Genomic DNA, 24932 nt, shown 5'->3' with positions numbered 1-24932 from the left:
CAGTGACTCCATGTCAAAAAAAAAAAAATTAATTAATTGCCTCTGGCTTAGACGTAAAAGCATTTCTTGGAGCAGCATAAATGCATAAAATCTGTTTTTGTTCCAGGTGGTTGTTAACAGGACTCATTTTTTTGGTCTTTGATAGGATCCCGGCTACTCAACAGAAATGAAGGAGGAATCTGTAAAGAAACACCAGTATCCAGATGGTGAAGTTTGGAAGAAACTCCTTCCTGCTCAAGAAAATTAAGTGCTCAGCCCCAACAACTTTTTTCTTTCTGAAGTGAAAGGGCTTAAAATTTCTTGGAAATAGTTTTACAAAAATGGATTTAAAAAATCCTACCGATCAAGATGAGTTCAGCTAGAAGTCATACCACCCTCAGGAATCAGCTAAGTAATTATTACTTGATTCTTTTAGCAAATCAATGCACGTTATCCTACTTAATCCTTAAATAAGTTTAGATTTAACTAACCCAAAGTCCAGGAGGATGTTCTTACAAAAATAGCTATATCAAGGGCTGGCACCTAGACATTAAACTGTAATTTGAAAATAAGCAACATGTTGCATAACTTGTTGGAATAATTCCTTGTTCTGTTTAACACTTGTCATAAATTAGCAGAATAAAAATAGTCGTGCAACACCGGGGGTATCTGGTATGCAACGAAGGGAAAAATATTTCACTGATTAACCCCGAAGTGGTTTTGCATCTTTTCCTTGCTTAATCTAAGCATATTATTAGAGAAGTCACACCATGCTGAAGCTAATGAGGGCAAAATGGTAGTCCATAGATTATTTTAAAATAACCCTTTAAGGTTATAAAAGTTTAAAAAAAAAAAAAAAAAACTCTATCCTAAATGGTCATTATATTTTGAGGATAAGATGCAGTTAAAATGAGAAAAATAGGGCAAAATATATTCACTATTATTTCTAAAATATACTCTTTTAAGTAGCATCCAAACCAGAATACAGCACATGTTTACTTAAGGAGAGTTCTTTAATCTATTTTAGGAAGGAACTGAGCAGATAAGTGGCAGTACAGAATGAACAAAGCGTGGACGAATGCAGAACACTTCTTTATTATAGCAACATATAAAACAACTATAACTTTAAAGTTCATAACCACACTCTACATCATGATCGATGGTGTTACTCAGCTCCCTCAGATTTGAGGGAATAGCTTGTGAAATTCTTAAAATATTCTAAAAATATTCCAAAAATAGCTTGTGAAATTCACCAACCTTCTTTATAAGTACGTGGGATTGAAATGCACATACATGTTTTTGCTAAGAGCACATACATTTCATTCTCCTCACTTTGTTCATAACCTCAGCATTGTCAGATACCCTCAGTGAGTTAACTCAAAGCCTTTTATTATGGAAAGAACTGGCACAGTTACATTTGCCAGTGGCAACATCCTTAAAAATTAATAACTGATAGGTCACGGACAGATTTTTGACCTAGTTCCTTTTTCTTTTAGAGCAAAAAGAACTTTTACCTCGGCATCCAGCCCAACCCCTAAAGACTGACAATATCCTTCGAGCTCCTTTGAAAGCACCCTAAACAGCCATTTCCATTTTAATAGTTGGATGCGGATTGTACCCTTCAATCTGAAAGTCTTCAGCTTTGAAGTCATCAATTTTCTCAACTTTTCGAAGAATCCTGAGCTTTGGGAAAGGTCTGGGTTCTCGCTGAAGCTAAAAACAAAATAAGGCCATTATTTTGCCATAATTGTACGACCTGTTGTAATTGCTCCTCATGTCCGTGAAACAAGTACACAGGATGTGATCAACAAAGTTCTATTTTACAGGAGTATGATCCTGTCGATACCTTGCCGTAGGTTATGTAACATGATTGGAGCGCAACCAGCTGTTCTCTTGCACAGATCGAGAGTGAGGGGTATTTTGTGACATTACACAGCATCAGGAGCCTGGTGCCTCATCAGGTGTAAGTTCTTATAACCACTCTTGGCAAATTTATTAAAGACAGGAACACAGTCAATCTGTAACTCATAGTAGCTCTACGTTTACTTGAATTCCACAATCCCTAACCCATCTGTCCCTGGCAGAAAGAAGGAAAGATGACATGCATGGACAGTGAACAGAAAGGGATGAAAGCCAGGATTCCTGGGATGAACAGACAGTGGCAATTAGGATGTGAAGACAGGTCACAACCTATTACTATGTCTAAAAACGACCAGAGCAGAGAGCCAGAGAGAATAAGCCTGAAGTCACCTCCACTCAAAAGCAGCCAAACTCCCTCAAAGGAGTAACTTTTAAAACCTGGATCTAACCTGGAAGGGGCTAAAAAGTGTCTGGTTCTGAGTTTTTTTCCTTAAGGCTCATGAAGCAGATGAACTTACATTTTTATTGCCATTTCATATCAATTGTTGGCTGCTATAACTTAGGGATTTCAACAGACTTTTGAAGTTTGGACCTAAATATTGTACTTAATGTAAAATTAACAAAAAATATTTATGGCCAGGGTGGTGGCTTATGCCTGTAATTCCAGAATTTTCGGAGGCTGAGGCAGGTGGATCACTTGAAGTCAGGAGTTTGAGACTAGCCTGGCCAACATGATGAAACCCCATCTCTACTAATAATACAAAAATTAGCTGGGTGTGGTGGCATGTGCCTGTAATCCCAGCTACCTGGGAGGCTGAGGCAGAAGAATTGCTTGAACCCGGGAGGTGGAGGTTGCAGTGAGCTGAGATCGCACCACGGCACACTCCAGCCTGGCCGACAGAGAAAGACTCCATCTCAAAAAAAAAAGAAAAGGAAAAACATTTGCACTTCAATTCTCCTTCAAGTTAAAATGAGTTAAAATGCCCCCTTTTGGACAATCCCCTGGCTTGAATGTGGCTCTTCCCTCTCTGGTACTGGTGCTTAGTACCTCACAGCACCTGACATGTTAAGTGCCCATGGTTGCTGAGGCAGATGCCTGCCTTGTCCTGCCCACCTGCCCACCACTTCTCCCTAAACTGAAGCCCCACATTTGGAGCAGTCATCTTTATCTTGGACACAGCATTGAGCAGATGCCTGTTCCACAGTCAACCTTTTATCAAGAGAAGGTACCAAACCCAAAAGTATAACATCTAATTCTTACCTGAATTTTCAGTGGCTCGATGTGATTCAGGTAAATATGTGCATCTCCCAAAGTGTGTATAAAGTCACCTGGCTATAAACCCGGGGGAGAAAGCAGAACAGTATGTTAGTTTCAATTCTTTAAAACATCATTTAAAAACATTAGAATATGCAGACACCGCAAGGCTTTTTTTAAAAAAATAATTTAGTGTAGCTTTTCCATTTTTTTGTAGCAACAGCATCTTGTTATGTTGCCCAGGCTGGTATTGAACTCCAGACCTCAAGCAATTGCTCCTGTCTCAGTCTCCCAAAGTGCTGGGATTACAGGCATGAGCCACCATACCCAACCTCAGCATAGCTTTTGAGAAAATCCATAGAAGCTGTATCACAAACAACCTGTATAGATCTGTTAGTGCGTATACCACAGGGCCAGAAAACCTTCCAGAAGAGGAAGGTTTCAAAGTAAAAGCTGGTTCATTTCTTACTTACACATATCAAATTTAAAAGCTAATCAGAGACTAAACTCTGCAATTTGTTTTCCCATATTAAAGAACTGAAGAGCTCAGTGTGGTAGGCTGGCAAGTCACCCTTCCCGAGACAGCCCACCTTCAGGCCCGTGATGTGCGCAATCATGTACGTGAGCAGGGCGTAGCTGGCGATGTTGAAAGGCACACCGAGGCCCATGTCTCCCGATCTCTGGTACAGCTGGCAGGACAGCTCACTGTTCACCACATAGAACTGGCAGAGGGCATGGCATGGAGGCAGCGCCATCAGAGGAAGATCTGAGGAACCAGCAGAGGAAGATAAGGAGGGATGGTGGTTTGAAAGACCACAGCTAAAGGCAAAGTAAAACAGGAGAGAAACAGAAGCCAACTCATATGGTGGAGACCAGGAGAGAGAGCCACTGGGCTGCAGTGATGTCCATAACAGCCTCTGCAGCGATGGCACGGAGCTGAGGGAGACTATCCATCGGTGCAAGGTTTCTGCAGGTGTCCATTTACGGCTGAAGCAATGCTCTTCCATCAGAGCTGAAGGGATCTGGGCTACCTCGTGGCACCAGATTACAAATACAGCAGGAATAATTCTGTTTGCCACAGGAAACTGGTGCTTCTGGTACACCCTCCTATATTAAAAGTCTCTATTACATGGCCAGGCACAGTGGCTCATGCCTGAAATCCCAACACTGGGACGCCAGGGTGGGCAGATCACTTGAGGCCAACTTGAGTTCGAGACTAGCCTGGCCAACATAGTGAAACCCCGTCTCTGCTAAAAATACAAAAATTCGCGCGCCTGTGGTCCCAGCTCTGGGGCTGAGGAATGGGAACTCACTTGAACCTGGGAGATGGAGGTTGCCGTGAGCGGAGATCACACCACTGCACTCCAGCCTGGGCAACAGGGTGAGACTGTGTCTCAAAAAAAAAAAAAAAATAAGTCTCTATTACAGATGCAAGTATTTCACTCTAAGTACTTATGATATCCTGATAGAGTTTTGTTGTTGTTGTTGTTTTTAAATATTCAGGGTCTCACTCTGTTGCCCAGGCTGGAGTGCAATGGCGTGATCATGACTCACTACAGCCTCAAATTCCTGGGTTCAAATGATCCTCTCGCCTTGGCCTCTGGAGTTGTTGGAATTACAGGTGTGAGCCACCACACCTGGCTCTACACCCTGGTAGAGTTGAATTTTACAATATAATTGTTAAAAATGTTAGTGAGGTGGCAGCGAGCTGGAACTTCATCTGCTTCCATTTAAAATGTTAACATCTTACATGTAGTTTCTAGGCAATTTAAAACCCTTTTTGGTGTAAGAATGAGTATAAATACACAAATTAAGATCATCTGGTTGGGAGGCTGAGGCAGGCAGATCATCTGAGGTCAGGAGTTCAAGACCAGCCTGACCAACATGGTGAAACCCCGTCTCTACTAAAAATACAAAATTAGCCGGGCATGGTGGCACATGCCTGTAATCCCAGCTACTTGGGAGGCTGAGGCAGGAGAATCACTCGAACCCAGGAGGCAGAGGTTACAGTGAGCCAAGATCACGCCGTTGCATTCCAGCCTGGGCAACAGAGCAAAACTCTGTCTCAAAAAAAAAAAAAAAAAAAAAAAATCCTCTGGGCCCAACCTCATGATCTGAAGGTGAAAGTGCAGCAAAATGTGACTTGCCCAACGTCACACAATCAACCATGTGGCTGGGGGAAGTTCCCAGGGTCCTGCCTCCCTCAGGTGCCTCTGCACAAAACCAGATTGCTTCCCTCTAAGAGTATGGTTAGTATAAATGAAGACGACGGGGTTCTTTCAACCTCTTGGATTCCAAGCGCACATGATGATTCTTCTGTCGTCAGGGTTGGTTTTGATGGTGTCAATCACTCTTTGCAGTTGGTCAACTCCCTGTCCTGAATAATCTGTAGAATTGTCAAAAAGAGAGGACAGGTACATACATTAATCACACATGTCATGAGATGGCCTTAGAGGTCATCTATTACAGTCTCTTACCCAGGGTCCCCCCTTGACCCATGGCTACAAGACATCTGGTGCATCCTGCAAAGTTTGCAGATCTCGGTGGGTTGAGTTCAAGGCCCTGTCTGACTCCTGGCTCTGTCCTCTGGAGCCCTAACAAAGTCTTTTTCCTCTTCTACACAGTCCTTTGAATATTTGGTCTGTCATGGAGTCACCTCCTCCTGTTCCCCCCATAGCTAACCCTTTCCAATCTCAACAATCTTAATTTCTTCCAGTGCTCCTCGCAAACTTAGGCTCTAAACCCATCAGCGATTCTTGTCACAATTTCACTGACAAAATCTACTTTATCCTTGTCTCACAGAGAGTGTTGTATCTTATGTAGAATATAGTATTCCATATACTTTCCAACTAACAGAGGACCATGGATTCCTTTCTATCACCTCAGCAGCATGTTTCCAACACTTCCACCTAAAATTACTTTAGAGTTTAGCAGCTCAACACACGACTGACTTGGAAACATCAGGAAACCTCTGTAATGATTACACCACCTTGTACTTTGCTCCCATTTCTGGTCTCTGGATTTTAATCCCTTTCCTTCCTTCTGAGATGGAACTGGAAGCTGAGAAGTGATTTGTTAACTGAAGTGCAGAGCTTCATAATCTCCTTTGGTTAAATTTCTACCTATTAGTGTCAGACTATATTCTGGTTCAGTAGTTCTCAAAATTTTGGGAGGAAAGTCCTCTCATGGTCACTGTTCCGAAAAAGGTAACATCAAAGATTTTAAAAAGATGAACCTTGGTAGTGTAGTTCTGTAACTTGATTGTAGTGGTTACAAGAGTCTACACGTGCTAAAATTGCAAATACACACATACACAAGTGCACGTAAAACTAGCAAAATCTGACAACTCTGAGGAATGCACCAATGTGAATGTATACAGGATGTTACCCAAGATATTATCACTGGGGGAAACTGGGTAGTGTGTCCAGGGAAACTTTCTGTGCATTAAAAAAAAAAAAAAAAAAATTCCTGTGAATCTGTAAAACAAAATTAAAAACAAAAAGGGACAAACTTTCCTACTAAAATCCAACAGCTAAGCATTCATACCACTGTAAACTAAAACCATAATTTTATTAGGCCTTTTAAGCGACAAGAAATAATTGAATACTAGGCAGGATTTAAAGCATCATTAAGCCCGGGGACTGGCCTCACATCCTACGGACACCCTACAACTGAGGTGCAGGCAACGACCTGCAGAACACTTACCTGCACAAGTAACTTGGCCCACGCAGCAGCTTTTTTCATTGTGATAAAGTACACATAATATTAAACTTGCCATTTTTGTGTGCAATTCAGAAGCATTAAGCACGTTCCTGATGTTAGGCAACCATCACCATCACCCATCTCCATCACCATCACCATCACCATCACCATCACCATCACCATCTCCATCACCATCACCATCTCCATCACCATCACCATCACCATCTCCATCACCATCACCATCACCATCACCATCTCCATCACCATCACCATCACCATCACCATCACCATCTCCATCATCACCATCACCATCACCATCACCATCTCCATCACCATCACCATCACCATCACCATCACCATCTCCATCACCATCACCATCACCATCACCATCTCCATCACCATCACCATCTCCATCACCATCTCCATCACCATCACCATCTCCATCACCATCACCATCACCATCTCCATCACCATCCCATCACCATCACCATCTCCATCACCATCACCATCACCATCTCCATCTCCATCACCATCACCATCTCCATCACCATCACCATCACCATCTCCATCACCATCACCATCACCATCACCATCTCCATCACCATCACCATCACCATCACCATCTCCATCACCATCACCATCACCATCTCCATCTCCATCTCCATCACCATCACCATCTCCATCACCATCACCATCTCCATCTCCATCACCATCACCATCTCCATCACCATCTCCATCTCCATCACCATCACCATCTCCATCACCATCACCATCTCCATCTCCATCACCATCTCCATCTCCATCACCATCACCATCTCCATCACCATCACCATCTCCATCACCATCACCATCTCCATCACCATCTCCCGAACTTTTTCGTCATCCCTAACAAAACCTCTGTGCCCATTAAACATGAACTCCCCATTCCTCCCTGTTCCCCAGTCCCTGGAAACTAGCATTCCACTTTCTGCCTTTAAGAACTTGCCTATTCTAGGTCCACACAGCATTTTTAAACTTCCTGAAGTTGCTAACATTTAACAGATCTCATGACCGCACATAAAATATAGATTTTAGGCTTTTATTGAAGAATTCTGACATCACCAGGCCCAAATTCCTCCAGGTGGCTGGAGGTGAAATGTGACTGTCCCCTTAGATGAGACACCTGCTCTCCAGGTTGCTGGTCTCTGCCCAGCTAGTAAATTGCACACACAAACCCCACATTCCAAGGTGGCATCTGCTTTTCCTAGGGACAGGTGGGAGGGGCTGGGCTCTGTGACATCCAGTAAGAGGTGACACCAACAGTGACAGGAAAGTGGAAGTCCAGGAGTGAGATGTTTCATTCTTTCTCCACCTCTGCAGAGCTGGGAGTGGAGTGTGACCCTGGCACTGCGCTTCACAGCAGCGCCACCTACAGCACGCTGTGGCTCAGCCTCGAAAGGGAGATTAAAGCCACAACAAAGCAATGGGGGCATTTTGTCCCTTGTCCCACCGATGAACTTCCCATTCCCCAGCACGAACACCAACCATGCAGCTATCTGCCGATGACACAGTATGGAAAGTGCCAAGCGCCCAGTAAGTGCCAATCATCTGACCTACAAAGAGACTTAGACTCCCACACATTAATAATGGGAGACTTTAACACCCCACTGTCAACATTAGACAGATCAACGAGACAGAAAGTTAACAAGGATACCCAGGAATTGAACTCAGCTCTGCACTAAGCGGACCTAATAGACATCTACAGAACTCTCCACCCCAAATCAACAGAATATACATTTTTTTCAGCACCGCACCACACCTATTCCAAAATTGACCACATAGTTGGAAGTAAAGCTCTCCTCAGCAAATGTAAAAGAACAGAAATTATAACAAACTATCTCTCAGACCACAGTGCAATCAAACTAGAACTCAGAACTAAGAAACTCACTCAAAACTGCTCAACTACATGGAAACTGAACAACCTGCTCCGGAATGACTACTGGGTACATAACGAAATGAAGGCAGAAATAAAGATGTTCTTTGAAACCAACGAGAACAGAGACACAACATACCAGAATCTCTGGGACACATTCAAAGCAGTGTGTAGAGGGAAATTTATAGCACTAAATGCCCACAAGAGAAAGCAGGAAAGATCCAAAATTGACACCCTAACATCACAATTAAAAGAACTAGAAAAGCAAGAGCAAACACATTCAAAAGCTAGCAGAAGGCAAGAAATAACTAAAATCAGAGCAGAACTGAAGGAAATAGAGACACAAAAAACCCTTCAAAAAATTAATGAATCCAGGAGCTGGTTTTTTGAAAGGATCAACAAAATTTATAGACCGCTAGCAAGACTAATAAAGAAAAAGAGAAGAATCAAATAGACGCAATAAAAAATGATAAAGGGGATATCACCACCAATCCCACAGAAATACAAACTACCATCAGAGATTACTACAAACACCTCTACGCAAATAAACTAGAAAATCTAGAAGAAATGGATAAATTCCTTGACACATACACTCTCCCAAGACTAAACCAGGAAGAAGTTGAATCTCTGAATAGACCAATAACAGGAGCTGAAATTGTGGCAATAATCAATAGCTTACCAACCAAAAAGAGTCCAGGACCAGATGGATTCACAGCCGAATTCTACCAGAGGTACAAAGAGGAACTGGTACCATTCCTTCTGAAACTATTCCAATCAATAGAAAAAGAGGGAATCCTCCCTAACTCATTTTATGAAGCCAGCATCATCCTGATACCAAAGCTGGGCAGAGACACAACCAAAAAAGAGAATTTTAGACCAATATCCTTGATGAACATTGATGCAAAATTCCTCAATAAAATACTGGCAAACCGAATCCAGCAGCACATCAAAAAGCTTATCCACCATGATCATGTGGGCTTCATCCCTGGGATGCAAGGCTGGTTCAATATACACAAATCAATAAATGTAATCCAGCATATAAACAGATCCAAAGACAAAAACCACATGATTATCTCAATAGATGCAGAAAAGGCCTTTGACAAAATTCAACAACACATCATGCTAAAAACTCTCAATAAATTAGGTATTGATGGGACATATTTCAAAATAATAAGAGCTATCTATGACAAACCCACAGCCAATATCATACTGAATGGGCAAAAACTGGAAGCATTCCCTTTGAAAACTGGCACAAGACAGGGATGCCCTCTCTCACCACTCCTATTCAACATAGTGTTGGAAGTTCTGGCCAGGGCAATTAGGCAGGAGAAGGAAATAAAGGGTATTCAATTAGGAAAAGAGGAAGTCAAATTGTCCCTGTTTGCAGACGACATGATTGTATATCTAGAAAACCCCATTGTCTCAGCCCAAAATCTCCTTAAGCTGATAAGCAACTTCAGCAAAGTCTCAGGATATAAAATCAATCTGCAAAAATCACAAGCATTCTTATACACCAATAACAGACAAACAGAGAGCCAAATCATGAGTGAACTTCCACTCACAATTGCTTCAAAGAGAATAAAATACCTAGGAATCCACCTTAAAAGGGATGTGAAGGACCTCTTCAAGGAGAACTACAAACCACTGCTCAATGAAATAAAAGAGGATACAAAGAAATGGAAGACCATTCCATGCTCATGGGTAGGAAGAATCAATATCGTGAAAATGGCCATACTGCCCAAGGTAATTTATAGATTCAATGCCATCCCCATCAAGCTACCAATGACTTTCTTCACAGAATTGGAAAAAACTACTTTAAAGTTCATATGGAACCAAAAAAGAGCCCACATCGCCAAGTCAATCCTAAGCCAAAAGAACAAAGCTGGAGACATCACACTACCTGACTTCAAACTATACTACAAGGCTACAGTAACCAAAACAGTATGGTACTGGTACCAAAACAGACATATAGATCAATGGAACAGAACAGAGCCCTCAGAAATAACACCGCATATCTACAACTATCTGATCTTTGACAAACCTGAGAAAAACAAGCAATGGGGAAAGGATTCCCTATTTAATAAATGGTGCTGGGAAAACTGGCTAGCCATATGTAAAAAGCTGAAACTGGATCCCTTCCTTACACCTTATACAAAAATCAATTCAAGATGGATTAAAGACTTAAACGTTAGACCTAAAACCATAAAAACCCTAGAAGAAAACCTAGGCATTACCATTCAGGACATAGGCATGGGCAAGGACTTCATGTCTAAAACACCAAAAGCAATGGCAACAAAAGACAAAATTGACAAATGGGATCTAATTAAACTAAAGAGCTTCTGCACAGCAAAAGAAACTACCATCAGAGTGAACAGGCAACCCACAAAATGGGAGAAAATTTTTGCAACCTACTCATCTGACAAAGAGCTAATATCCAGAATCTACAATGAACTCAAACAAATTTATAAGAAAAAAACAAACAACCCCATCAAAAAGTGGGCGAAGGACATGAACAGACACTTCTCAAAAGAAGACATTTATGCAGCCAAAAAACACATGAAAAAATGCTCACCATCACTGGCCATCAGAGAAATGCAAATCAAAACCACAATGAGACACCATCTCACACCAGTTAGAATGGCAATCATTAAAAAGTCAGGAAACAACAGGTGCTGGAGAGGATGTGGAGAAATAGGAACACTTTTATACTGTTGGTGGGACTGTAAACTAGTTCAACCATTGTGGAAGTCAGTGTGGCGATTCCTCAGGGATCTAGAACTAGAAATACCATTTGACCCAGCCCTCCCATTACTGGGTATATACCCAAAGGACTATTAAATCATGCTGCTATAAAGACACATGCACACGTATGTTTATTGTGGCACTATTCACAATAGCAAAGACTTGGAACCAACCCAAATGTCCAACAATGATAGACTGGATTAAGAAAATGTGGCACATATACACCATGGAATACTATGCAGCCATAAAAAATGATGAGTTCATGTCCTTTGTAGGGACGTGGATGAAATTGGAAATCATCATTCTCAGTAAACTATCGCAAGAACAAAAAACCAAACACTGCATATTCTCACTCATAGGTGGGAATTGAACAACGAGAACATATGGACACAGGAAGGGGAACATCACACTCTGGGGACTGTTGTGGGGTGGGAGGAGGGGGGAGGGATAGCATTGGGAGATATACCTGATGCTAGATCATGAGTTAGTGGGTGCAGCGCACCAGCATGGCACATGTATACATATGTAACTAACCTGCACATTGTGCACATGTACCCTAAAACTTAAAGTATAATAATTAAAAAAAAAAAAAAAAAAGAGTGTGAAACGGCCTTCATGAGGCTTAATTGTGGCTTAACCTGGCACCACCCCTCACAAGGTCAAAGCTATACATCAGCTCCTGTGACATTGACTCATCCCCCAGACCTTATCTAAAACAACGGAGCAAACACATGCTAGGAAGGGCACCCGGGAAATGGAAGGCATTGTTCTATCTCCTCACCTGATTCCATATCTCTGTATTCTGCCCCAAAATGCCTCCACTGGAAGCCATAAACTGGGCCCAAGTCCCCTTCTTCTCTGGTGGAGAATCCCAGGCTGTCCAAAAAGTCTCGGGATCCATTGGCATCCCAGATTTTCACTCCCTTGGAAGACAGCTCTTTAGCATTTGTGGATCCCTGGAAGAGATGGGGAGAGCAGAGCAGGCATCCAGGTAAATCCTAAGCCATCTCAGTTGATCCCCCCGAGACACCACTTACAAGGGCCTCTGGCCCCTGCTGACTTGCTAGGAGGTGGGCACTTGACACCACCCATATGGAACCCATCCTTTTTTTTGTTTTTTGAGAGTTTCGCTCTTGTTGCCCAGGCTGGAGTGCAATGGCGCGATCGTGGCTCACGGCACCCTCCACCTCCCAGGTTCAAGCGATTCCCCTGCCTCAGCCTCCCGAGTAGCTGGGATTACAGGCATGCGCCACTACACCCAGCTAATTTTGTATTTTTAGTAGAGACAGTGTTTCTCCATGTTGGTCAGGCTGGCCTCGAACTCCTGACCTCAGGTGATCCGCCCACTTCGGCCTCCCGAAGTGCTGGGATTACAGGCGTGAGCCACCACACCCAGCTGCCCATCCTATCTTTAAGTAGGCTGGTCCCAGCCCAGATTCCTGAGGGCTTTAGGACAGTCTGATCCCTTCTTTGGAACCACCCTCCCAGATCTTTTCTTCCATTCCCCTCAACTAAGCTTTTTAGGCTAAACACCTCCAAGTGCTTTTAAGTATTCCACCGATCTGACAGTTTTATGTTTCTTAATGAAATGTGTTGTCTATATGTAATACCCCAAAATGAATTTAATGCCTACATGCAATCTGTTCAATGTATCTTCTACCTGGCATACAGGATATTCCTAATGATCAGACTAATCAGTATTTTACAGTGCAGGTGCCTCAACTCCTGTATTTGATCGAGTCACCAATGGAGTAACTCCAACTATCAAGGTGAGTCTGACATTCCTGGCAAGGATTCCTTAGAATCCTGAATTGAAGCATTAAGTTGAAACAGGGGAATGCATTTTATTTCTGAGTATCTTGCTTCCTCCCTTTCTATTGTTGAGTTTGTCCCGATTTTCTTTGATTGAGAAAGAATCAAAGAAATTTCCAACAAATCAAAGAAATTTCTCCAATTGAGAAATTTCCAACAAATCATTTCTCAATCTTTTACATATTGCTTCAAAAGTCTCTCCTTTTCATCCATTCAGACCAGGCTCTAGCCAGTTTAAGAATGTTGTCTTCTGAGGTTTCTGATGATATGTTTCAAATCCAAGGTTCATTGTTAGTCAAGATAGGCCAATACAGAACAAAATACCCCAAGAATACAGAGCTAAGGCAGACCTGGGGCTGGATCCAAATTGAAGCCCTTTCTAAAATGGGATAAGAGGGCTTGGGTCTGGCTTGCCCCAAGACCATACAAGCCATACCAAGTGCTCTATAGAAGGGATCCCAGCTTCTAGTATGGCCCAGACCTGAGCCCAGACCTCAGCCACCTTCCAAAAAGCACTGGTCAGAAAGAACATCGCTGGTTCTAGACCAGGACACGGAACACAGAGAAGCTTGGTCTGGGCTGCTGCCTGTCTTCACAGCACTCTGGCCCCGGCCTGAGGTACCTACTCAGCCCTCTGGAAGGGGTTCACCTTGTTACTGAAGAGACTCTTCTAGAATTTATATGAACATGGGAACACAGGTGGTATCTACATTTAGTGATCAATATATGTTGACTCCTACTATGTGGCAGGCTGTGTTTGAGGCCCTGGCGATACAACAGTGAACACGAGAAACAAATCCTCTGCCCTCATAAAGCTTACAGCACATTTCACTTTTACTACCTGCTGTCCCCCTTCTAACAGGGGAAGGGAAAGGCTGACATACATCAGATGGTGATGTTCGTCTATGGAGAAACACCAAGGAGGTTGGGGGAGAGTCACAGTTTTAAATCAGGAGGTCTAGGAAGGCTTGCCCGAGTGGAGTAGAGACTCAAAGGAAGAAGCCAAGTGTGGGGGAAGAAGGTTCCAGGGAGTGGGGATGTCCCGGTGTGCTCAAAAACTCACAAGAACAGCAGGGCTGGTGCAGAGAGCAGCAGCTAAGGTCAGAGCTGAAAAACGGACACCATAAGGACCGTGGCTCTTACTGAGTGAAATGGAGCCACTAAGGGCTTGAGGGTGAGGAATGATATGCTTTGACCTTTGGTGGTGTCTTTTTTTGTTTTTGACATGGGTTCTCCCTCTGTCGCCCAGGCTGGAGTACAGTGCCACGATCTCAGCTCACTACAACCTCCGCCTCGTGAGCAATTCTCATGCCTCAGCCTCCTGAGTAGCTAGGATTACAGACATGCACCAGCACACCTGGCTAATTTTTTGTGTTATTAGTAGAGACTGGGGTGTCGCCATGTTGGCCAGGCTGGTCTCAAATTCCTAACCTCAGGTGATCTGACTCAGCCTCCCAAAGTGGTGGGATTACAGGCGTGAGCCACCACACCTGGCTGCTTTGAGTTTTGAAAGGATCTCACTGGCTGCTGTGTTGAGAACAGACTACTGACTTCTAATAGCAGCGACTTCTTTACCTTGATAAACCACAGCAACTCCTCCAAAACACCCTTCCAGAACACACGTTTGGTTGTCAGCAGAGGGAATTCATCTGAAAAACAATTTGCCATACGGTTTCAAGATGGGAAGACAGATCATGCCATCCAACTTTCTTCAGGGAAGAAAACTGCCCTGGGACGTGAGGCCCTGGAGCATCCAGAAAGCCTAGACTCCCGCAAAGTGGGCCAGAGATCACGGTGGAGCTCCCAGGCTGCAAGTCCCATCAGTGGCCCGATTCAGGCTGAGACAGCACTTCTGTGCCCCGGTGACCAGTGGACACAGGAATTCCACACAGTGAGATGGTGGCGAGGGCAGGGATGAACATGTGGCAAAAGGGAGGAGCTATCATCCACTGCCCACTAGTGCTAATCCTGTCACAAAGGTGTGAAGACAACACCAAGCATGTGTCCCAGGAACAAAAAGGGAGGCATCAGAAGTGTCGAGCCACAGAGAAATGAAAGTGTAAAAACTTATCTTTAAATGCAGTCCTCGTTCATCCGCACTCGCTTGTGGTACAGTTTATATTCAGACAACAGAGAGATTTTTGCAAGCACCTGCTTTTATCAGAATTGCCTACTAAGCATTATTTTCTCCATTTTTAACATATAGGGAAGCTATATGAGAAGTAACTTGCTCAATGTCTAAGCAGAAAGGTGGGTTAAAAATGAGGTCTATGGCTCATCAAAGGCCCCTGGGCTTGGAGCTGCAGAAAAGTGGATCCCTCTCCTCAGACAAAACTCCCCACGCTGTCCCACGCCAATCAGCCACAGCAGCTGCTATGTATTCGTCTCTAGATGGGTCCGTGGGCCGGAGGGCTTTTCCGCTAGCTACAGTGAATCTGCTTCACCACGAATGGGTTTCCCCATTCAAAACCACCTCCACCCCTGTGTCAAGGCTGCGCTCCATTTATCTGAGCGGTCAAGGTCAGCCCCTGGCTCACACACCTTCGAGTCCCCTCCCCCGCGCAGCTGGCGCAGGATCCAGGACGGCAGGACGGTGTGGCCTTAGGGAGGGCCAACGGCTGCCTAACGTCCTGTGCCCACCCCGCCCCGCCCCACTGTCCCCTGAAAGCCTGGCGCCAATGACCCGCGAGACATTTTTTGCCTGGGGTGCTCCTGTCGGAAAGGAAAGAGGAAAGGACGACTAAGAACTTATACTCGAACTCCCGAATTTCTCTTTTCAAGGTTTAAGAGGAAAGCTGGTTCGTGGGGATTGGATGGGAGGCCACCAGGAAACCAAGTTCCCGCGCCAGCTTCAGTGCTCTCCTCTTCCCGCCGCCTTTGCCCCGCCCACATCACTTTCGCTCCAGTTTTTGAAAACGCTGCGAAGCGGAATGGTCCACAGGGGAAAACGGAGGAGGGGCCAAAGCCAGGACTTTGAGACCGGCGCGCGGTCAAGCCCAGGCAGCTCTCCCTAACCCTCCAGCACTGGGCAAACGCTGCCCGATGACGCCCGCCTCGGGGGCCACGGCATCACTGGGGCGACTGCGAGCCCGGCCGCGGAGCCGCTGGGACGCGGCTTACCTCCCGGCTGTCGCTGCTGTGTGTGTTGCCCGCGCCAGTCACGTCCCTAATGGGACCCTCCGTTTCGGCGTCTGTAAGGCGAGGAGGACGATGCGTCCCCTCCCTCGCAGGATTGAGGTTAGGACTAAACGGGGTCCGCAGCGCCCGGCAGCTCCCGAGCGCTCTCCCCAGCCGCGCCTCCCTCCTTCCCGCCACCCGTCCCGCAGGGGCCCGCGGCGTCACCTCTCAGGCTGTAGCGCGCCTGCATGCCGAATACCGACAGGGTGCCGGTGCCCGTGCGGTCGTCCTTCCTGACGCCGCAGCGGAGGATGTGTTGGATCTGCCCCAGGTACTGCAGCTCCCCGTGCGGCGGACGCGGCTCGGCGTCCCGCTCCTGTGCGGCGGGGGGCAAGGGCCGGCGCGGCAGCTCCGAGCCGGCCACAGGCATGGCGCGGCGGGCGGGGGACGGAGGCAGGCGAAGTGGCGCGGCGGGACGGAGGCAGGCCAAGTGGCGCGGCGGGACGGAGGCAGGCCAAGTGGCGCGGTGGCAGGACCCCTTCCGCGCGCCTTTTCCCGCGGCCGTCCCGCGCTCCGCCTCTTCCTGCTCGGCGGGGTCGCGGCGGCCCCCGCTCTAGAGAGCGTGCGCCAGGGGGAAACGCAGGAGCCACGGGTGTGGCACAGAACGGAGCCCAGGGCCACAGCTGAGAGTCTTAGGAAACCCGGGAACCTGGATGCAGGTGCGGTGGCTGGGAAGGACTGCGCCCTTTGGGAACCGTCTGGTCGACCGCGCCTTCTCTAAGCCAGCAGCACAGTTCCCACGTTTTCCTGCGGTCTTGTCAACAAAACTGCTGTTTGAGATCTGTTTCCTACAACTAATAAGGGATTTGCATTTCCATTTCTTCGTTCTCACTGAAGCAACCGAAGCAAGTGGTATAATGCAGCTTTTCTACTTGATTAAAAACCGCCAGGGCGCTGGACGCGGTGGCTCACGCCTGTAATCCTAGTACTTTGGGGGGCCGAGGCGGGTGGATCACCTGAGGTCAGGAGTTCAAGACCAGCCTGGACAACATGGTGAAACCCCCGTCTCTACTAAAAGTACAAAAATTAGCTGGGCGTGGTGGCTACTTGGGAGGCTGAGGCAGAAGAATTGCTTGAACCTGGGAGGCAGAGGTTGCAGTGAGCCAAGATCCGACCATTGTACTCCAGCCTGGGCGACAGAGCAAGACTGTCCCAAAAAAAAAAAAAAAAAAAAAAAAAAGACCGCCAGGGCTTTTCCGAGGTTTTTTGTTTGAGCCCTGGCGGTCTTTTTTTTTTTTTTTTGAGACAGAGTCTCGCTCTCTCACCCAGGCTGGAGTGCAATGGTGCGATCTCGGCTCACTGCAACCTCCGCCTCCTGGGTTCAAGCAATTCTGCTGCCTCAGCCTCTCGCGTAGCTGGGACTACAGGCGCCGCCACCACGCCCGGCTAATTTTTTTTTTTCATGTTTAGTAGAGACGGGGTTTCGCCATGTTAGCCAGGCTGGTCTCAAACTCCTGACCTCAGGTGATCCACCCACATTGGCCTCCCAAAGTGCTGGGATTACAGGCGTGAGCCACCGCACTCGGCCCCAAGTTTTTAATAGACCACATTTCCCAGTTTTACTGAATTGTTTATAACATTAACACTGGGGAGTGGGAACTGTTGATGAAAAGAGTTAAACTCTGTAAAATATCTGAAGAAATTTATTCTGAGCCAAATATGAGTGACCAATGGCCGGTGATAGAGCCCTCAGCAGATCCTGAGAACATGTCCCCAAGGTGGTTGGGCTACAACTTGATTTTTTATACATTTGGTTGAAAGAATTGTTATCTAAAGATCTGGAATCAATAGAGGGCTGGGCGCGGTGGCTCACGCCTGTAATCCCAGCACTTGGGAGGTCGAGGCGGGCAGATCACGAGGTCAGGAGATTGAGACCATCCTGGCCAACATAGTGAAACCCTCTCTACTGAAAATACAAAAATTAGTGGGGCGAGGTGGCACACGCCTGTAACCCCAGGTACTCAGGAGGCTGAGGTAGGAGAATCGCTTGAACCCAGGAGGCGGAGGTTGCTTGCAGTAGCTGAGAAAGCGCCACTGCACTCCAGTCTGGGTGACAGAGCCGTATGGGGAAAAAAAAAAAAAAGATTTGAATGAATAGAAAGGAATATCTGGGTTAAGATAAGGGGTTGTGGAGACCATGGATTCATCATGCAGATTAAACCTCCAGGTAGCAGGCTTTAGAGAGATAGATTGTAAATGTTTCTTGTCAGACTTAAAGAGTGTGTTCTACCTGTCTTGAGGCCTGTGTTGATGTCAATGCTGGTCAGCTGTGCCTAAATTCCAAACGGAGGAGGGAATAATGAGGCATGTCTGGCTCCCCTTCCCATCATGGCCTGAACTAGTTTTTGTGGTTAAATTTGGAATGCCTTTGACCCAGAGGAGTGGTCTTTTCAGATGGTTCTGGGCGTAGAATTTTATTTTTGGTTTACAGAACGATTTTATAATGAGTTTAAAATGCACTGATACATGTGTTGTACTTGCAAGCATCCTTTTACCTCAACGGTTGATTGAGTACAGAGGTGCTCTCAGCATTTTGGGTGGGACTTTTCTTAGCTGGACCGGTTTGTTCTGCACATTGCAGGGCTTTAGCAGGACTGTGGAAAGCCAACCATATGTTGGCATTCCCCCACCCCACACCAGCTGAAAACTGTCCCTACACGTTTCCCTACACGTTTCCGAGCACGAGGAAGATCCCAGGCTGAAAATATTCCAGATTATCCAGATGCACGTTATCTGTGTTTAATTTCCTTGTGTTATTCTTTTTCCTTTTTTTTTTTTTTTTTTTTTTTTGAGGTGGAATCTTGCTCTGTCCCTCAGGCTGCAGTGCAGTGGTGCTCAGCTCACTGCAAACTCCGCTGCATGGGTTCAAGCAATTCTGCCTCAGCCTCCCAAGTAGCTGGAACTATAGGCGCCTGCCACCATGCCCAGCTAATTTTTTTTTCTTTTTTTTTTTTTTTGCATTTTTAGGAGAGACAGGGTTTCACCATGTTGGTCAGGCTTGTCTCAGACTTCTGATCTGAAGTGATCTGCCCACCTCGGCCTCCCAAAGTGCTGGGATTAAAGGCGTGAGCCACCATGCCCAGCCTTACTTGTGTTATTTTTTAAAAACCTGATACATAATAATTGTGAGGTAGACAGGGCTTGACTCTGGAGGCAGGGCTCTGACATGGGACCAAATTGAGGAGTAGTCAAAACAAGGATGGGGCAGAAGTAGTTTTCCATAAGACGTGCCCACCAGTGTGCCATGTCAGTTTACGATTGTCATGGCAACATCCAGAGCTTACTGCCCCTTTCCATGGCAGTGAGCCGACAACCGGAAGTTACCACCCTTTTTCTAGACATTTCTGCATAATCTGCCCCTTAATTTGCATGTAATTGAAAGTAGGTTATAAATATCACTGCAGACCTGCCTTTAAGCTACTGCTGTCAGCACACTGCCTATAGGGTAGCTCTGCTCTACAGGGGCACTCAGGGAGCTGTTGCCATATCAGTAGAGCTTTTCTTCTACCAGGTAGCTCTTAAATTCTTTCCTGAGCAAAACCAAGAACCCTCCTGAGCTAAGCCCAATTCTGGGCTCACCTGCCCTGCATCAGTTGCACATCCTTGTGTGTTTTTTTTCTTTCTTTCTTTTTTTCTTTTCGACGGAGTCTCGCTCTGTCACCCAGGCTGGAGTGCAGTGGCAGAATCTCAGCTCACTGCAACCTCTGCCTCCCAGGCTCAAGCAATTCTCCTGCCTCAGCCTCCCGAGTAACTGGGATTACAGGCACCCATCACCATGCCCAGCTAGTTTTTGTATTTTTAGTAGAGATGGAGGTTCACCATGTTAGCCAGGCTGGTCTCGAACTCCTCACCTGAAGTAATCTGCCTGCCTCGAGCCTCCCAAAGTGCTGGGATACAGGCGTGAGCCACTGCACCCGGCCCCTTGTGTTATTTTGAGGCTGGTTTATTTGTTTCACCCAAATACCAGCTAAATCACATCTCAAGACTAGGCTCCTCTGCCCACATGGAGCTTCCACTTCTGCTGCCTTCCTTGAGTATCTTGGCTTGATAGTAAAGACAGAATGGTTCTTTTCAAAGTAGTTACTCCATAAATGTTGGTTAGAATGAATGGTTCTCTCAGACAAATTTCATTCATTCATTCATTAACACACATTTATATCATGGTGCCTTCCTCATGTCTACAAACAGCAAGACAGACAAGGCCCTTTTCTTCATAGAACTGATATTCTGGCAGTGACAAACACTACAAAAGTAACCAAACAAGACATCTGCAGATAGTGACAAGTGTGATGATAGTAAATTAATGGGTATAGCACTAAACAGTGATTGTGTAGAGGGTGCTTTAGATCTGATCACCAGGAGGCCTCATTGAGGAAGTCACATTTGAGCTGAGACCTGAATACTGGGAAGAAACCAGCAGGGGAAGATCTGGGGAAAGAACATTCCAATCAGCAGGTGCATTTATACCAGTAGGTGCCACAGTGCTTGCATCTATAAAAACATCCCCCAATAGGGACGGTCATGATGCTTAATCCTGTCTTGTTCTAGGAAGAAATAATAATTATTAGTGGATACGTTAACTTATTGGAGTATAAAAAGCTCTTCCTTCTCATTAAGAGATATATTTGTTTAAAATTTTACTTTTATATGTTTAGTAGTCATAGAAATTTGTAGTATATTTATGTTATTTTGATCAATTATGTACAAAAAATAATTATAATGATCACCCAATCTAGAATAAATATTTCATACCTAGAATTTGATGTCACAGGATGTTCTTAATTTTTAAAATTTAAAAATGATCAAAATTGTGTTGATCAACAAAAGATATTTAAGCATAAAAATATACTACATTAGGATAAAATTCTTAGGAATGTAGATTGAAATAAGAGTTTAGGGAGAAAATGTAATGAGATAAAATTTCTCATTGTTAAAGAAAAACTTGTATATTTGTTTAAATGGATGATGCTGGGTCAAATTGCGATGATATTTAGATTCCATTTGGTACATTTTAAAGAGGGATGACCTGCTAATCTTTACGATGCGTGGGAAAATAACAATTTGCTATTCTTTCAACTTATATAGAAAAATGACATGCAAGTATGTTGCAACTTTTTCAGTTTCCTTTGAGGAAGTATGAGAGCAAAAATATTTGAAAATTATTGGTCTAGAAAAACCTTCCCTTTACAAATTCAAACATGTAGGTAAACTTAGGTAAAGGAAAGCAGAAAATTAACGTTTTTGAGAGTCAATTATGAATCAGTTACTTGATAATATTATTTTTTATTGTTGCTACTACCATCTATCAATGAGTATCATGAGCCACACATTATGGATTAATGTAGTTCTCACAACTACTCTATAAAACACAAACTTTTACAGTAGTTTCCCCTTATCCACGGGGGATATGTTCCAAGACCCCCAGGGGATGTCTGAAACTGCAGATAGTACTGAACCTTATACATACCATGTTTTTTTCCTATACCTACATACCTATGATAAAGTTGAATTCATAAATTAGTCACAGGTAGAGATGAACAACAATAACTAATAATAAAATAGAACAATTATAACAGTATGCCGGCATCCCTATCTTGTGCTTTGGGGCCATAATTAAGTAAAGTAAGGGTTCCTTGAACACAGAAAGGGTTCCTAAGAGAACAATTTGGGGAATGTAGTCATCGTGGAGCCACTGGACAAAGGGAGCATTCACCTCCGGAGAGGAAGGGGTCAGGGACAGCATGAGATTTAATGGCATGCAATTGAAAACTTACTATGTATTTCTGGAATTTTCCACATAATATTTTAAAACCGCAGTTGATCTCGGGTAACTGAAAGCTTGGAAAGCAAAACCACAGATTAGTGGGGCACTAGTGTACTTTAATTACCTTATAGATGACACTGAGATTAAGGATCTTGGCCAAAGTGACACATCTGGAGAATATAGTAGCCAGGATGAAAATCCAGTTCAGCCTGCATGCAAAATCTTCTTTCCATTTAGCTGTTTTGAGCCTCACTTCCCCCACTCTCTTTCCACTCTATAAGCTTTTGATAGCTCATTGGATAGAAAATAGGTTCTCTTAATCACTTATTTTTTTGTCACCTTCACTAACAAATATTTAAAATCTATGGTTGAATAGACTGTATTTGAGATTTATTGCACACCGAAGAACCCAGGATTCTATTAGTTCCCTGCCAGGAGCAGTGGCTCATGCCTGTAATTACAGCACTTTTGGAGGCTGAGGCGGGCAGATTGCTTGAGCCTGGGAGTTTGAGACCAGCCTGGACAACATGGAGAAACCCCATCTCTACTAAAAAAATACAAAAATAGACGGGCATGGTAGTACCTGTAGTCCCAGCTACTCAGGAGGCTGAGGTGGGAGGATCACCTGAGCCAAGGAGGTCAGGCTTCAGTGAGCCCAGATCATGCCACTGCACTCCAGCCTGGGCAATAGAGTAAGACCCTGTCTCAAAAAAAAAATAACATAATTCTCATTTTTTATAGCCTTCAGTTATGATTTAGAAAAGGTTTATCTTCATTTGGAGTTAATTATATTCAATTGGCTGCCTCTGAACTCTAACTTTCTCTGACAAGCCTTTCTGTCAGATAGATCAAGACTGGGTGAAAAGTTCTTTAAAAGTTCAGAGTTCTCTCTCTTTCATTACGTTTCTTTTATATATTTATTTATTTATTTATTTATTAAAAAAGAGTCTCGCTCTGTTGCCCAGGCTGGAGTACAGTGGCACAATCTTGGCTCAGTGCAACCTCTGCCTCCCAGGTTCAAGCAATTCTCCCATCTCAGCCTCCTGAGTAGCTGGGATTACAGGCATGCGCCACCACACCTGGCCAATTTTTGTATTTTTAGTAGATACAGGTTTTCACCATGTTGGCCAGGCTGGTTTCGAACTCCTGTCCTCAGGTAATCCACCCACCTTGGCCTCCCAAAGTGCTGGGATTACAGGTGTGAGGCACCGTGCCTGGCCTACATTTCTTTTTATAATTTGTAATACTGACTGTATATACTCTCATTGTAATCCTTAGTGATATATACTGACACATAGCTCTCCTATTATTGTGTTGCACCAAGGTCCAAATTATGAGGTTGAGCGTCAGCCAGGAAAATCTTGTGTTTTCCATAAAATACGTATGTCAAAAGACAGCGCTGTTGTGCCAATTTTAAAAAGTAACTATGTAGCACACCCACGTTCAAAACAGCATTATTCACAATAGCCAAAAGATGGAAGCAACCCAAGTGTCCATCAATGGCTGAATGGATAAGCAAAACTAGGTAAATACATGCAAGAATATTAGCCTAAAAAAGGAAGTTCTGAGACATGCAACAACATGGATGAACCTTGAAAACATGGCACTAAGTGAAATAAACCAGTCACAAAAGGACACTGTGATTGCACCACTGCACTCCAGCCTGGGCGACAGAGTGAGACCCTGTCTTAGAAAACAAAAAACAAAACAAAACAAAGCAAAAGACAAATACTGTATGATTCCACCTACATGCAGTACCTAGAGTAGTCAAATTCATAGAAAGTACAGTCGTGGTTGCTACGGGCTGGGGGATGGGGAAAAGGGAAGTGAGTGCTTAACGAGTACAGAGTTTCAGTTTAGGAAGATAAAAAGGTTCTGAAGATGGACGGTGGTGATGGTTGCACAGCAACGTGAGTGTACTTAATGCCACAAATTGTGCACTTTAAAATGGTTAAAATGGTAAATTAATGCCATGTGTATTTTACCACAATTTAAAAAAAGACTATACAGAACCTATTGGTCTTTACAAAACAAAGCAATGAATCTTAGATTTTTTTCCAAAAAAGTCAATTATATATATTTTAAGTGCAAAAGCAAACTAAAGGAAGAACATTTTGTTAATTAGGAAGTGACATGTTTGTAGATGTGATAGAACATAGACACCTAGGTGATTTAGTATTTATTCAATATACAAAGAACTACTAATGTACCATGAAATGTAATACATATTACGTTTGATTTTTTAAGGAGGAATTTTCATTTTAACTCAATTTGAGTATTAATAGCTAAGCCATTCAACATAAGTAAACTAAGAGTACTTCATAGTATATAGCTAACATACTTTCCTGCAACTGTGTTTATTGCATTATCCTTTTTTATTTCAGGATTTCCAGGTCCCAGATGAAGAGATAATTCTACTTACTGGATATAGGATGCATTAGATCTTCTTACCTTAAAAAAAAAAAAAAAGGCAGCAATGATCAAAATACTAATAAATTACTCACAGACTCAGTGTATTTTTTCTTGGAGTAAAAGTCCAGGATGGGTAATAGAATACCTGCTGTTGGCTTTTGGAAAAATTGGTACTGTATGTAGCAAAATAATGTGAAACCCATATGCATGGATATTCTTAACAATTTGAAGAAATCGTCACAGCTTTCCTGGGTTGTTGAGCCTCTAAGATGGTCTTTTCCTCTGATGTGATAATAAAGTGTTTATTCTGAACTCTA

At 44.0% G+C, this 24932-nt stretch overlaps 3 protein-coding genes and 1 long non-coding RNA gene across 58 annotated transcripts in view, besides 5 other annotated features; 2 read left to right on the top strand and 2 right to left on the bottom strand.

The window, feature by feature from the left end:
• ENOSF1 (enolase superfamily member 1) overlaps positions 1-11566 on the top strand; it is a 49645-nt gene extending 38079 nt beyond the window's left edge. For 21 of the 42 annotated variants that reach the window (XM_047437621.1, XM_024451208.2, NM_001439137.1 and 18 more), the window contains one exon: positions 146-4234. In XM_047437621.1, the coding sequence (XP_047293577.1) occupies positions 146-247 (102 nt within the window). In that variant the 3' untranslated portion in view covers positions 248-4234. Of the gene's footprint in view, positions 1-145; positions 4235-8155 lie in introns of those variants that run through there. The other 21 variants (XR_007066189.1, XR_007066188.1, XR_007066190.1 and 18 more) reach the window with 3 other exon arrangements.
• On the bottom strand, positions 974-16899 carry TYMS (thymidylate synthetase). Of its 4 annotated transcripts, NM_001071.4 has the most exons (7): positions 16605-16899; positions 14838-14911; positions 12232-12406; positions 5379-5480; positions 3685-3860; positions 3101-3172; positions 974-1692 (listed from the first exon to the last, which is right to left on the bottom strand). In NM_001071.4, exons 1-7 carry the CDS (start codon positions 16807-16809, stop codon positions 1555-1557), a joined length of 942 nt encoding a protein of 313 aa, NP_001062.1. In that variant the 5' UTR covers positions 16810-16899; the 3' UTR covers positions 974-1554. The 4 variants fall into 4 exon arrangements, with proteins under 4 accessions (NP_001062.1, NP_001341796.1, NP_001341797.1 ...); NM_001354867.2 differs by lacking the exon at positions 5379-5480; NM_001354868.2 differs by lacking the exons at positions 12232-12406; positions 14838-14911.
• Positions 16174-16673: an enhancer, noted in NCBI's record as "H3K27ac hESC enhancer chr18:657879-658378 (GRCh37/hg19 assembly coordinates)". NCBI's record gives its function as "activates a minimal SCP1, AML or CMV promoter by ChIP-STARR-seq in naive H9 embryonic stem cells {active_cell/tissue: H9 hESC(naive)}" and the evidence as "EXISTENCE:reporter gene assay evidence [ECO:0000049][PMID:30033119]".
• Positions 16187-16306: an enhancer, noted in NCBI's record as "active region_13021". NCBI's record gives its function as "activates an Ori minimal core promoter by ATAC-STARR-seq in GM12878 lymphoblastoid cells {active_cell/tissue: GM12878}" and the evidence as "EXISTENCE:reporter gene assay evidence [ECO:0000049][PMID:35858748]".
• Positions 16261-24932, top strand: TYMSOS (TYMS opposite strand RNA). Its single transcript, NR_171001.1, has 2 exons — positions 16261-16710; positions 24588-24932. It is a non-coding gene; the product is annotated as a TYMS opposite strand RNA (long non-coding RNA).
• Positions 16537-16586: a silencer, noted in NCBI's record as "silent region_9241". NCBI's record gives its function as "represses an Ori minimal core promoter by ATAC-STARR-seq in GM12878 lymphoblastoid cells {active_cell/tissue: GM12878}" and the evidence as "EXISTENCE:reporter gene assay evidence [ECO:0000049][PMID:35858748]".
• Positions 16674-17175: an enhancer, noted in NCBI's record as "H3K27ac hESC enhancer chr18:657377-657878 (GRCh37/hg19 assembly coordinates)". NCBI's record gives its function as "activates a minimal SCP1, AML or CMV promoter by ChIP-STARR-seq in naive H9 embryonic stem cells {active_cell/tissue: H9 hESC(naive)}" and the evidence as "EXISTENCE:reporter gene assay evidence [ECO:0000049][PMID:30033119]".
• Positions 16757-16936: a silencer, noted in NCBI's record as "silent region_9240". NCBI's record gives its function as "represses an Ori minimal core promoter by ATAC-STARR-seq in GM12878 lymphoblastoid cells {active_cell/tissue: GM12878}" and the evidence as "EXISTENCE:reporter gene assay evidence [ECO:0000049][PMID:35858748]".
• Positions 24370-24932, bottom strand: part of CLUL1 (clusterin like 1) — a 53195-nt gene continuing 52632 nt past the window's right edge. For all 11 annotated transcript variants that reach the window (NM_001393346.1, NM_001393345.1, NM_001393347.1 and 8 more), the window contains one exon: positions 24370-24654. In NM_001393346.1, coding sequence (NP_001380275.1) covers positions 24651-24654 — 4 coding nt within the window. In that variant the 3' untranslated portion in view covers positions 24370-24650. The remainder of the gene's footprint in view (positions 24655-24932) is intronic.

The sequence above is a fragment of the Homo sapiens genome, chromosome 18 (genome assembly GCF_000001405.40).
Source record: "Homo sapiens chromosome 18, GRCh38.p14 Primary Assembly".
NCBI classification, from domain to species: domain Eukaryota; kingdom Metazoa; phylum Chordata; class Mammalia; order Primates; family Hominidae; genus Homo; species Homo sapiens.
The sequence above is the reverse complement of the archived record's forward strand: the minus strand, read 5'-3'. Positions and strand labels throughout refer to the sequence as shown.

Coding starts and splice junctions, on each gene's coding strand:
- TYMS (NM_001071.4), bottom strand. CDS start 16,809: ATGCCTGTGGCCGGCTCGGAGCTGCCGCGCCGGCCCTTGCCCCCCGCC. Junction 12,407..14,837: donor AGTTGCTGTGGTTTATCAAG/GTAAAGAAGTCG, acceptor CATCTCTTCCAG/GGATCCACAAATGCTAAAGA. Junction 5,481..12,231: donor ATACAGAGATATGGAATCAG/GTGAGGAGATAG, acceptor ACAATTCTACAG/ATTATTCAGGACAGGGAGTT.